This window comes from Homo sapiens, chromosome 5, assembly GCF_000001405.40.
Source record: "Homo sapiens chromosome 5, GRCh38.p14 Primary Assembly".
NCBI classification, from domain to species: domain Eukaryota; kingdom Metazoa; phylum Chordata; class Mammalia; order Primates; family Hominidae; genus Homo; species Homo sapiens.
The window spans coordinates 64,659,678-64,673,532 of NC_000005.10; the positions used below are offsets into that span (position 1 = coordinate 64,659,678).

At 38.7% G+C, this 13,855-nt stretch overlaps 1 long non-coding RNA gene across 1 annotated transcript; it reads right to left on the reverse strand.

The window, feature by feature from the left end:
• Positions 1-1,399: 1,399 nt before the first annotated feature.
• LOC124900984 (uncharacterized) lies at positions 1,400-6,452 on the reverse strand. Its single transcript, XR_007058785.1, has 2 exons — positions 6,244-6,452; positions 1,400-1,578 (listed from the first exon to the last, which is right to left on the reverse strand). It is a non-coding gene; the product is annotated as an uncharacterized LOC124900984 (long non-coding RNA).
• Positions 6,453-13,855: the final 7,403 nt, after the last annotated feature.

The following is a 13,855-nucleotide window of genomic DNA, read 5'->3' on the forward strand; positions in this document are numbered from 1 at the left end:
ATTCACTTCTTCATTTTTTTCCAGTTACCTTTGATTCAAAATTAACAAATATATAATGTATACACTCTTATTCTTTGATGACCATATTGTTTACAGATCATAGCTCCATTCTCCTTACTGAAACCTGTCAGTCACCCCAAATGCTTATCTTTGGCTTCTGGGCAGCCTTTGTAGAACAAGAGAAAAAAATTATGTTGTCCTTTTTTTGCTAATTGTCTGGAAAAATAAGATACCTGGATGACAAAAATGTTCCCAGTACCCTTCCTGTGTGCATTCTCCCTGTGGAAATAATTTGCTTGATTGAATTTATACAGATCTTGCCTTCATCCTGGTGGAAAGTATTTATCAAGCTGCTTTCAGACTTTATGCCTGGATAATTCTGTTGCCTGCACATTGGTTGTCAAATAACATAAACTAAGTCAGTTTCCTTCTTTGTACCTTAATGTTCTCATTTGAAATAACATGTTGCTCCTATTTGAGAGCTAAATTACTAAAATATATTTGTATAAATGTTTGAGTATCATAGTTAAAATTCTTAATTGCAAAGGAGAGGTTAGAAAAGAAATAAGAGGAAATGTAGTTTTAACCTATCTATCCCAATAGGCAACAAAGTGACCTTATCTGTTCTTTGCTTTAAATGTATTTTTGTTATTATGTTTAAGACCACAGTGTCTAACATATATACATATTTCTTAAATAAATGAATGAATAAAATTTAACAATTCGAATCCTATACTCCAAAATTAACTTAAGAATATATGACAGCCTAAAATTAACCCATTACAGAAACTAATTTGAAGAAAATACATTAAATAATTAGACAGACAAGTCCATGCTTCATTTGAAAAAAAAATAATACTATTTTACAACTTTAAAAGCTAATACTATGAGAAGGCAATTAAGAACAGCTCTGTGGTACTTTCATTTATTTTAGACTGTTTTCTTATTCTATTAGAAACAGTGGATTAATATTCACTGTTGGATGTAATTCAGATTCAATGAAGGAAAACAACACACTTTCATATTTCAAATTCTTTTCACTGTATTGTGAGATCTGGCTTCTACTGGCCTTTACTACCCAGCATCAGAATAGGTACCTCTCTAAGGTGGATGTTACTCAATAGAAGTTGTCATCAAATGATGGTTTCCTGAGTTGGAGTTCTTTTACAAGATTAGCTGTTCTGTTCTTACTCCCATCACCTTCCTGAAGGAATAGGCTCATGTGGGTAAACTGTCAAGCAGGTGAGATAGGAAGAGGGGAGGTGAGATAGGAAGAGGGGAAGTGAGATAGGAAGAGGGGAAGGGAAAGGCTGGAGCAGAGAAAAGGTAGCAAGAGGATTCAGAGTACCTGGGAGCCTGGGTGGGGAGAATAGAATTATAAAGAATAAGAACGAACACCAAAAGGATAAGGAGGAATTTAATTTCACCTGACTGTCTTCATTTAATGTTCACTTTTTTGTTAGTCAGTCAAGCAACATTTATTGATCCCCTGCTGTGTGCTAGCACTGTGCCAGGTTCCGTAGCAGCTATGTAGTTGTCATAGACACAGCTTCTTTCTTTTTTCAAGGGGTTTATAATCTAGAAAAAGAGATAAAATGAAAACATAATAACAAAAGGTAGAATGAGATAAAGGTCATGGGTCTTCATGCATTCATTCATTCTCAAATTCATCTCCTTCCATTTTCTCTTTACTCTAAATAGGCTCTTACCACCACCAGTCCTCCAAAACCGTTTCCATAAAGCTCACTAATGACCAGTTACTAAATCTAATGGCCAGTTCTCAGTCCTTATCTGACCTATTAGCAGCTTTTGTCACAATCTATCATTCTCCCTTGAAATACTGTCTTCCTCTGGCTTCCAGGGCAATGCAGTCTCTTGGGTTTCCTCCTCTCTCATTCTGGTCTGTTTTTATATCCTTTATTGGTTCATTCTCTTCTCTTAGATTTCTTTATGTGAGAGTGTCCCAGAACTTGGTCATTGGTCCTCTTCTTTCCTTATCCCCTTGATGATCTCATCTAGGTTTATTACTCTAAATACTATGTTCATGCTTTTTTTGATGACTCCCAAATTTATCTCCAACTCAGACCTCTTTTCTGAACTTAAAATTCATATGTCCAACTGGGTTCTTCACATCACCACTTGAATGTCTAATAAATATCTTTTAATCAACATGTCCAAAACTGAACTCCTGATTCCCACTTCCCCCAAAACCATCAATGCACAACTTTCCCTTCTCAGTTTATATCAACTCTTCTGTTCCACGTGCTCATGATAAAAACCTTGGAGTCACCTGTGGTTCCCCTCTTTCTCTCACATCCTATATGCAATCTGTCAGAAAATTTTATTGGCTCTTTTAAAAATGCAAAATTTGACCAGGAGTGGTGGCTCATGCCTGTAATCCCAGCACTCTGGGAGGCCGAGGCAGGCGGATTGCCTGAGGTCAGGAGTTTGAGACCAGCCTGGCTAACATGGTGAAACCCCGTCTCTACTAAAAATACAAAAACTAGCCAGGTGTGGAGGCACACGCCTGTAGGCAGGAGAATCTCTAGAACTCAGGAGGCAGAGGTTGCAGTGAACCATCAGATCACACCACTGCACTCCAGTCTGCATGACAGAGCAAGACTCCATCTCAAAAAAAAAAAAAAGCAAAATTTGACTACTTCTCAGCATCTCCTCTGCTACCACTCTGGTCCACATACATTGGTCCTGTCAGATTCCCCTACCTTTTAACTGTTTTCTGTACTTATACCTTTGACCCTCTCCTTTGGACTCTAGTATCAACCAAGCTGCCAGAGTAATTCTTTTAAAACATAAGTCAGATCTTGTCATTTTTCTTTCAGAGTCCTGAAATTACTTCCCTTTTCACTCCATATAAAAGCCAAAGTCCTTACAAACATCCAGAATGGCCCCAGATGATATGACCTCCCCTCCTATTATTCTCTTCCTCGCCCACTCTGCTGTAGGCACTCTGTCTGCTGCTATTTCTCCCAAACACGAGGAATGCTCTTATCTCAGGGCTTTGCACTGGCTGTTCCTCCACATGGAACACTCTCCTTCCAGATGTCCACATGACTGACTCCCTCAGCTCCTTCAAGTCTTTGCTCAAATACCACCATTGCAATGGGACTCACCCTGACCACCTTATTTAATACTGCAAATTGTGCACTTCAGGTTTCCTGCTTTTCTTTTTCATTTTTCTACAGCACATATGACTTTCTAACATCCTATACCATTGATTTATCATCTTTATCACCTGTCTCTCTCTGCTAGAATCTGAACTCCATAAGGGAAGGGATCTTTTTCTTCTTTATTCACTGTTCTCTCAAGCATCTAGAACAGTGCCTGGCACATTACAGGAGCTTAATAAAATTCATTGAATTGAAATTGAATTCATTCAACATCCAGCTGGCAAATACAAACTTACCATCTACTGTGTGCCAGGTTCTAGGCTAGAGGTGGTGGAGGTGAACAATGAAGGGACCAGTTTAAACTTAAAATTAAGAGGCAGGAAAATGAAGTTTATATGCATCAGTTTGCCTGTGGCATAAAGTTGAGTTCTTAATGGAAGCACTGAGAGAGGAAAGGCAGATTGAAACAGAAGGTAGTAAGGAAGTCCTGGAAGTTTTTGTGAAGAATTGTAATGTGATCTGAACTTCACTTTAGAAGGATTTCATTTAGGCTGGGCACGATGATTCACGCCTGTAATCCCAGCACTTTGGGAGGCCAACGTGGGCGGATCACTTGAGGTCAGGAGTTCGTGGCCAGCCTGGCCAACATGGTGAAACTCTGTCTCTACTAAAAATACAAAAATTAGCCGGATGTGGTGGCTAGTGCCTGTAATCCCAACTACTTAGGAGGCTGAGGCAGGAGAATCATTTGAACCTGGGAGGCAGAGGTTGCAGTGAGCTGGGATTGTGCCACTGCACTCCAGCCTGGCTGACAGAGCAAGACTCTGTCTCAAAAAAAAAAAAGAAAGATTTCATTTAGTTGCAAGGTACAGACACTGGGAGCAGATGACAGTAGTACAGCAGAATCTCTAAGGAAAGTCACTGAATCTTCTACTTTCTGAATTTTCTACTTTGAAGGCTCCTGGCAAAGACCTTGTTTCCATTAAGGAGTGAAAGGCAAAAAAATGACAACTGAAACTCACAGGAGATCAAAATAAACACAGAAATTCCAATTTACTTATTTACTGTGAGAAACATCACTGTCACATAAACTGGAAATTCTGTTAATAACGTATTCTTTCTAGGAATAGAATGGAAAATCGTGACAAGAAGCTCTTTTAGAATGTACAAGAGAACCATCATAAGGACTCAAGCTTAGTTTCTCTCATGGATGTAAACTCTTTCTATAGCCAGGCTCAGGGAAATCAGGGGATTGCCCAGTCAACATGGAATGAGGATGAATTGTTCCTTGGCTTTGGAATTACTGGCAGACCTGGAACTGAGATAGCCTGCTGGCCTGTTTTACAATAGGAATTTAGAGTTTACCAGAGATTCTCAGCCTGGATTAGAATCTCCTGGAGAGTATTTTAAAAATACCAACGCTAGGTGCCACCCCAGGTGAATTAAATCAGAATCTCTTCAGGTAGAGATCAGGTATTGTTATGAGCTAGGTAGTTTTCAAGAGCTCCCCACAGAACTATCATTTTGAATTGGTCCGAAGATAAGTCTTGGAAGGGCCATTAATCAATGGCCTCTGGAACTCTCCCTTTTGAACCTCTAGAGATGACCAGCCCTTGTCAGTTTGACACGACCTTGTTCCATATTTCGTCTTTCTTTGGATAATTTAATGTATTCTAAGAGGTTCCAGAGGAGAGGCTTCCCGCAGGCCTTGGAGCAATCCTGCTTTTAACCCATGATGTCTGTCTCTGTTCCTACTCATGAAGTGTGAGCATGACTTTTTTATATTGGGCAAGAGTGTCCTCATTTTGAAGTTCTTGGGGTGATGTGGTATCTCACTAGGAAATGAACTGAAGGGAAATGAGCCTGAGAAAGGCAAGGCTGGCTGGAAACCTATGCTGTAGTTCAGGCACTAGATTGTAAGTAGGATGATAACAGTGGGGCAGAAAGGAAATAGAAGGGGCAGAGAAGGAACAGGGAAAGGAATGGAAGATTAAATTAACTGTATTGGTCCAAATTATTCTTTTAATACTAAAATAAAACATTTTACAGGAAATAATTGAAGTCATTAGGGGAGGGCAGATTCACAGAGCATCACAACTTTAGAAAATTATGTGGAAATTGATCTGTTACATGATTCAATGATAATCTAACCTAAGGTTTTAATTTATCAGGTGAACAATTATTTTTCCTAATGTAATTTTGAATATATCACCTTTTTTGGTCCCTGAATTATATATTATATAGCTATTAGACTATTAGGTTACAGAACAGAAAGCTGAGCTATCAATAAATGAATTTGGAAGCCCTGGCAATCACTCTGGATAATGCAGGTTTAGACTACACATACACATACGCGCATGCAAGATATAACTGGATAACCCTACACGCTATTCAAGATGATTTCTGATCTGGTACTAAACAATTTTGCACCCCTTGGCTTTTCTTCACTTATGCAGGCAAGGAGTCAAGAAACAAACAAATGAAACAAAAAATGTTTTAAAAATTAACCACAAGAATGAGTGTCTCCTAATCTCTTCAACGTTTGTTTTTCAGATAGGGACTATAATTGCTTGATTTACACCAGTGTTCCCAGAGATCTTTAGAGGCAACATGTTGTTTACCCAATCCCTTTCATGTCTTTCCCTCTGTGTTCAAGGATATAGCACAATTACTTGACTATGTAAACAGCTACCCTGCTGAGTTAATAATAGCCAGCATGCATATTATTTCATTTTAAAAGTTTCCTCTTTCACTATTTGGATTCAATGACAATATCTAGATCACAAAACAAACCAAATAGAAAAGTTTTTAAGAGCGGCAAAATATAATATCTAAAATTTGAGAAAACTGAACATTTGCCCAGTTTTAAACACGATACCTTGAAATCACTGATTTAAAAATATGTATATTTTTACAGTTTATAAGTCTTTACTGAGGGCCCTGAGGATTGTGCCAAAGTTATACAGCAAGCTGTGGGGACTGAACCTCTTGAAACACAGCATCATCCAATACAAATACCTATGGGGACTGGGCTTTAATCAGTCTCGGTGGGATCTAGAAACAGAACAGTGGAAGTAGTAGACACTCTTTGGGAGGTTCACTTTCTCTATCATACCTGCTGTCTCCATTTTCACCAGTCAACTTTTGCTGCAGCAGTGAAGCATTCCTCCAAACCTCCGAGGCTTACAACAATAAATAGATATTTCTGCCTTGAGATATGCAGCATAAATGTGACATATCTGGCTTAGGCTTGGCTCTGGTTGAGATCTGTGCTCTGTGTCTCTCATTCTGTGTTTTTCATGCTGAAAGGCAGGGATACAAGGGGATAAGTGGGAACACAGCATGCCTTTTAAAACTTCTGCTCAAAACTGGAAGACTGTTCCTTCCCCCCAAGTCCCATTGGTCAAAGCAAGTCACATGACCAAACCTAAAGTTAGGGAGATGGCATCATATACTTTTCCCACAGTGAACATGACAAGAGTAGGAAGGGAAGGACAAACTGTGAGAAATAGCATGATTCACCATCCCCTATCTCTAAAAGCTAACAACCCACATTCCCAGGGCTAGGGCTCATGCAGAAATGTTTATCAGTGCTGTTGGAACATAAGACCCAATTTAAAAAGCCATTATCACAATCATGAAATAATGCATTCTGACCTTACCATTCGAAAACATAAAAAGTAAAGCAAACTGGCTTTATGATACTTGGTAGGCAGCCTGTAAAGTGCCCCCCATGAGGCCAGCCTCCAGGTATTTACAGCCCATGCAATCTCTCCGTGAGTGTGGACTGGGCCTAACAACCCCCTTCTAATAAATAGAAGATGGCAAAAGTGACGGGATATCACTCCTGAGAATTAGGTTACAAAAAGACTGTTATTTTCTGTCTTTCTCTCTCAATCTTCTCACTCTGGGGAAAGCAAGAAATTTGCAAAGAAAGAAAAGTTTGCCATGATGTGACAGGCTGAGGTGGCAAATAACTAATGTCATCAGCTAACAGCCTTGTGAGTAAATTTGGAAGCCCAACATAGCCTTGATCTGACTGCAGCCCTGACCAAGAACTTGACTGCAGCCTTTTGAGGGACCCCTGAATCAGAGGCACACAGCCAAGCCTTGCCCAGATTCCTGACCCATAGAAACTGTGAGATAATAAATATTTGTTATGTAGTCATAAATACTATCCCACATGAATAATTAAGTTGGCGAGCCTCGTTGACAATTTTGTGACTTACTAAATGAAATGCTATTATTACAAAGTGATACTTGAATCTAAAGAAAAAACAAAAACAACATATCTATCTATCTATTGATGAACCTGAGTTAAATGACTAAGAATGACATTATTCTGCCTCATAGTTGGACATATCCGGAATAAATTTTATTTGTACTCATTTAATGAAGCAACAATATCTATTTCATACGGGATAAAAGAATGATGATTACTAAAGACAAAGCGACAATGATGATGTCAGCACTAAGACAACTGTCCACATTCTGACAATTTAGCTAGAATATATCACATATGAACTTTCCTTGAAATTTTATTTCTGTATATGTAAAACTCGTTAAATTCTCCAGAAAGTGTGTACATGAAGATTCCAAATCTTTAAGAGTTACTTTTCAGTTAGCAAACTTATATATATACATTACCATTTCATTGATAGTTATATTTGTTTTAGAATTGTAGACCAGATTTTCTATAGATTTCTATATTCCTTCAGGTTTAGTCACTTGTATAACTAAAAGAGGAATACCTCTTCATGTTTTCTTATTCATTCCTTTATTTCTCCCTTTCCTATTCTGGGCTACAGGCTGTGCCTGGCACATTGTTAGTACTTGGTAAATGCTTATGGAATGAAGGAAGGGAGAAAAGAAGGAGGGAGCTGAAGTTCAGAGACTGACAGTGTATCAATGTGGTATGCTATATACTATTTTCTCTTTTTAGAAACATACTCCTCAGGTTCATAGACTATAAAAATTGAACCACAAACATGAGATTTTTCTGAATAACACTCAATATTCCATTATGTATAGGAGGTCTTAGTGTGTCCCCTTTCTGTACTGAGGATCATGTGTACACTATAAAGTTCATATAATTAACTACCTCTGATAATCTTCTCCCTGCTTCATGCTACTATCCTTCTTTTCCCTATTGGCAGTTTCTTGTGGGAATTGCCTTGGGTGAAAGTCATTCTTGTAAGAAAGTTAGTTTTCTTTAAAAAACAAAAAATGTAATGTTCTTAGCAATCAAAACAGCAATAAAAGCAATAGAAGATATAATTCCTATACAAGGTGTATAAGTTAAACATGCAACTATAGAGCTTTTAATAGTATTTAGCACTGCTATCATTAACTAGTTTCTGTAAAAGCCAAAAAAGCTGGCATATTAGGTAATTTGCGAAGTATTTTATTATCTGATCTCTTTTACCAAGTTACTTTCCATTTCCTGTCAGACTCCATGCCAGGAAAAATAGAGATTTTTTTTTGTTTTTTTGTTTTGTGTGTGTGTGTGTGTTTTGTTTTGTTTTGTTTTTGACTAGAATGATTTCTCCCAACCTTATTTACCTTGCAGACTCCAGCTTCTTTTTCAATGTTCAATTTAGGCCAAACCCTGAACCAAAACTGTTCAGGGAGACCCCCAGACTGCTATGCAAATATGACAGTCTCAGCCAATCCCATGAGGAGCTCTGAAGCAAATATCACTGTGATAATTGATTTTATGTGTCAACTTAGTTAGCCTATCGTATCTAGGTATTTGGTTAAACATTTTTCTAGATATTTCTGTGAATGTATTTTTAAAATGAGATTAACACTTAAATCAGCAGACTTTGAGAGTAAAGCAGATTGTTCTTCATAATGTAGGTGAGCTGCATCCCATCAGCTGAAAGCTTTAAGAGAAAAAGATTGGCGTCTCCAAAAGAAGAGGGAATTATGCCAACAGCCTGGCAGCCTGTGGTATTTATTATGGCAGCCTGATATAATTTGGCTGTGTCCCCACCCAAATCTCATCTTGATTTGTAATTCCCATAATCCCCACGTGTCATGGGAGGGACCCAGTGGGAGGTAATTTAATCACGGGGGCAGTTACTCTCATGCTGTTCTCAAGATAGCGATGGTTTTATAAGGGGCTTTCCCCCCTTTTGCTCAGCACTTCTCCTTGTTGCTGCCCTGTGAAGAAGGACATGTTTGCTTCCTCTTCTGCCATGATTGTAAGTTTCCTGAGGCCTCCCCAGCCCTGCAGAACTATGAGTCAATTAAACCTCTTCCCTTTATAAATTACCCAGTCTCTGACATGTCTTTATTAGTGTGTGAGAACAGACTAATACACAGCTCTGGTAAACAAACACCATCACCAAGTCTCAGCTGGGTAGAAAAGACCAGGCCCTAGTAACTTCTGTCCTCAGTCATTGGATGGGGGTTGCCTCGGAAGAAAGTGGTCTCTACTTAAAAGTTGCAGTAGATCTCAAAGATGCTGCAGTTAGAAACTGTCATTTGACTGTCCTTCTCACAGCTGAATGGCAATTTTTCTTAAAGGATGAACCAAACAGTGCACCTATCTGGCTGCCACATGTGGGAAGAAGGAAACAAAGATAACACATAAGAAAAGGTAAGAAAACATTCTGCTTCACCAACAAACATGAGACAATCCTGCCAATGTTATAATTCATGGTGGTTATGTTTGTGATGAATTTGTATTGAGCCAACTTAGTTAAGCTGGAACAACATTTCTAAGAATTCCCTTTCCTACATAGATCCAAGCTAGTGTGGGCTACCAAAAATGTTTTGCATGAGATTTAGAAAAGGGAAGTAGAGTAGCAACCGCATTCTTTTTATGCTCAGGTCAAAGCAAGGCATGAAGCACCGTTGCAGCTCACACATACTATGATCTGATGGCTCATCCTAATGGCAAGGCAATAACTGGTCCTGCAGCTCTCCCCAGATCCACTGGATCTCTTCCATCAACTTCTTTAGATACTGAGCCAGGTACATGTTTAGCTCCTTGCTTAAGGGTACTGTATTAGTCAGGGTTCTCCAGAGAAACACAACCAATAGAATAGATAGATGATAGATGATTAGATAGATAGACAGATAGATAGATAGATAGATAGATAGATAGATAGATAGATAGATAGATAGATTATTATGAGGAACTGGCTCATGCAATTATGACGACTAAATCCTATGATCTGCTGTCTGCAAGCTGGAGCCATGGGAAAGACACAGAGCTATACTTCCAGTTCAAGTCTGAAGGCCTGAGAACCAGAAGAACCAATGATGGGAGTTCTAGTCTGAGGGAAAGAGAAGATCAATGTTCAAGGTCAAGCATTCAGGCTGAGAGTGAAAATTCTCCCTTCCTTCACCCTTTGCTTCTCTTCAGGCTCTCAACAGATTGAATAATGCCCACTCACATTGGGGAGGGCAATTAGATTTACTTAATCTACTGATTCAAACACTAATCTCATCCAGAAACACCCACACAGACACACCCAGAAATAATGTTTAACCAAAAATCTGGGCACCCAGTAACCCAATCAAGGTGACACATAAAGTTAACTGTTCCAAGCACCAACTTTTCCTGCAGGACAATCCTATCATCACAGTTGGAGGCTTGCCATCAGTGAGAGACACATGCAGGTTTCAGTGTGTCCTCATAGGTTTCGCTTATTCTCTCAGGTTCTAGTTTGTTCCTGCTTCCCCCACTTCATGTTTTTCTGCCCTTGCTCACTGCCTGCCCTGCTGAATTCAGGCTGTAGCTCTAGAGGCAAAAGAAACAATCTCCCATAAACTGTTCAAATAGCTCCCACAAGTGTGTAAGGTCAAATTCCTAAACAATCTTCCTTCTTAAATATATCTCTTAGTGGTTCTGCTTTCTGTTCAAACCTTGACTGATACAATAATTATTCTTAGGGACAAGAATGGCTTAATTTATAGCCAACCTGAAATTTACCTAGGAATTGCTTTGCAAGACTATGGCTTGAGGTCATTAAAATTTGGGGATTGCAAATTCATGGTGTGTTCTGCCATGCTCCCTGCTTCACCTGAGGCAGGCATTGCTAATCAATCATAGTATTTTTTCCTGTTGGCTGGAATGCACTCAGAATTTTTCTCATTACAGTGTTCTAGGCAAGCCTTAAAATTTGATTATGTTTAGCTTTTTACTTGAAACCTGTTTTTGTTAGTAAACATGAGGGACTCACATAATGTACATTTTATTTCAGAAAGCATCAAATTTTAATATCAGCTTCAGAAAGTTTTATGGAAATCATCATAACATGTTTCTTAACGATGAGCTTAAAAAATAACCAGAGCAAAATGTAAGAAGAAAGAGGGGACATCATATTTTTTGCCTGGGCTCTTGTAGTGGACTGAATGATGGCCCACAAAAGGTATGTTCACATCCTAATCCCCAGAACCTGTAATGTTATCTTAATTGGAAAAAGCATCTTTTCAGATGTAATTAAAAATCTTTTTTGTGTGTGTGACAGGGTCTCATTCTGACACTCAGGCTGGAGTGCAATCATACCCCTCTGTAATGAACTCCTACACTCAAGTGATCCTCCTACCTCAGCCTCCTGAGTAGCTGGGACTACAGGCATGCTGCCACGTTCAGCTACTTTTTTAAATTAATCATGTTGCCCAGGCTGGTCTCAAACTCCTGGGCTCAAGTCATCCTCCTGCTGCGGCCTCCAAAAGTGTTGGAAAAGAATCTTAAGATCAGGAGGTCATTCTGGATTAGCCAGGTAGGCCCTAAATCCAACGAAAAAATGTCTTTATAAGAGAAAGGCAGAGGGAAATTTGAAACAGACAGAATAGGAAAGGACAGACAGAAAAGGAGGAGGCAGTGTGACCACAGAGGCAGAAATTGATGTGATGTTGGACAAGTTAAGGAATGCCTGTTGTTTTAACTATCTCCTATTTACCCCATTGGTGAGGGAGGGATCTCCACCCCAAGATTATTGGGGTGGCTGAAGACATGACACCCGTCACTGGAGAGATGAGATCAACAGCAGTTTATTTGTCACATATATTCACAGCCTGGGGAAGAGGATACCACAGGCCATGCAGGGTCACATGGGGATTGCACGTGGTAACAGAATGAACAACCAGAGGCAGTGGGAGGCAGGCTCTGTAGTGTCAAGAGGATGAAGTACATCATGGTTCCTGTGGGGAGATGACTGGCTTATTTGAATAATTCGATGGGCTGGCAGAGAACTGAAACCCACTACTCAAGGATAAGTAGGCACTGTGCCTGATCCCTTTCATAAGGTGGGCTATCTGTTTAGACAATCCGATCTGCAGTAGCAGAATGGGGAAAGGAGGTCGCAGTTAGGCCATTCAAGTCTCTCTTAATTCTATCAGATAGATGTCAAGACACTGCAGAAAATTGGGCCTTAATTTTAGGTATTATTCTACACCTATGGGCACCTGAATCTAGAAAAGCAAATGACTGATTGTCACCTAAACCTTCAGGGGGTATGTGGCCCTGCTGACACCTTGAATTTGGCTTTCTGGCCTCTAGAACTACTGTGAGAGAATAAATTTATACAGTGTTAAGCCACCCAGTTTGTGGTATTTGTTATAGCAGCCACAGGAAACTCATACAGCTCTCTAGCATTTCCCCAACTAAAAGAACAATGAGTACTTTTGGTTGGAAAACAGGATCTGGCTTGCTTTAAGATGATATACTTAAGGTAATATGAAGAGAGGCAGAGCCATCATCTCTTAAAGGGCAAAGGTGAGAAAAATCAGAGACCTCCACCTATTATTAAAATTGTAAGATTAACTGTATCTTCATTACCAACAATTAGTCTTTAACATCAAATGAGTCATTAACGTATACTATATGCATTGAAATTATCACTTTGTATATAAATCCTATGCTTTTGTCCTTTAAGATGTATTGCCTTATTATTTTAGTATCCTTTTGCTACTTATCTTTTTTGATCCTTCTGTTCTCCTAGTGAATGTTTTTGAGGATTTAAAAAACTATTTCCCTGTGAATGGTTTTCTGATTTTCTTTGGAAAGAGATAGAATACTTTTCTAAACTTTATTTTAATCATATATTTATGAGAGACTTTTTCAGACATGCTTTGCAGCTTGAAATTTTTATTATATTGCATCCAAGGTTTCATATCTTATTACATTTTTGTGTGCATAGTTTCTTATTACAATGTGTTTTCTATAGTTGTTTAAAGCCACAGTTTAATCAGAAATTAGAATGTGTCAGTGTCTTTTATTTCTGTTGTGTATGTAGGCCACCAGTACAACTCATTATAGTAGTTGCCTTTTTATTTTTGCATATGTTGGGTCTTTTGTTTTGATCCTTAATTTCTTTGGGAATGATTCCTATGAGAGTAATTTTTGTAGAAAATGGAACTTTAATAGAAAATGGTTTTAATTACCGTATATGTCATATTCTTTCTCAGATTTTCATACATTTTTACATCTCAATTACGAAGTTCAAATTTGAAAGTTTCCAGCATTTATATTATTTATTTGTTGCTCCTAAGTTGTCTGTTCTACTGTAATCCTTTTACTATTTTCTTTTTTGATCTGCAATATGACAAGGAAATTTAAATTATTTTATACACACATATTTTATATACACACATACAGAGTCTCCCAATTTAGTACATTAAAAAACAATTATTGGCCGGGCGCGGTGGCTCATGCTTGTAATCCCAGCACTTTGGGAGGCTTTGAGACCAGCCTGGCCAACATGGTGAAA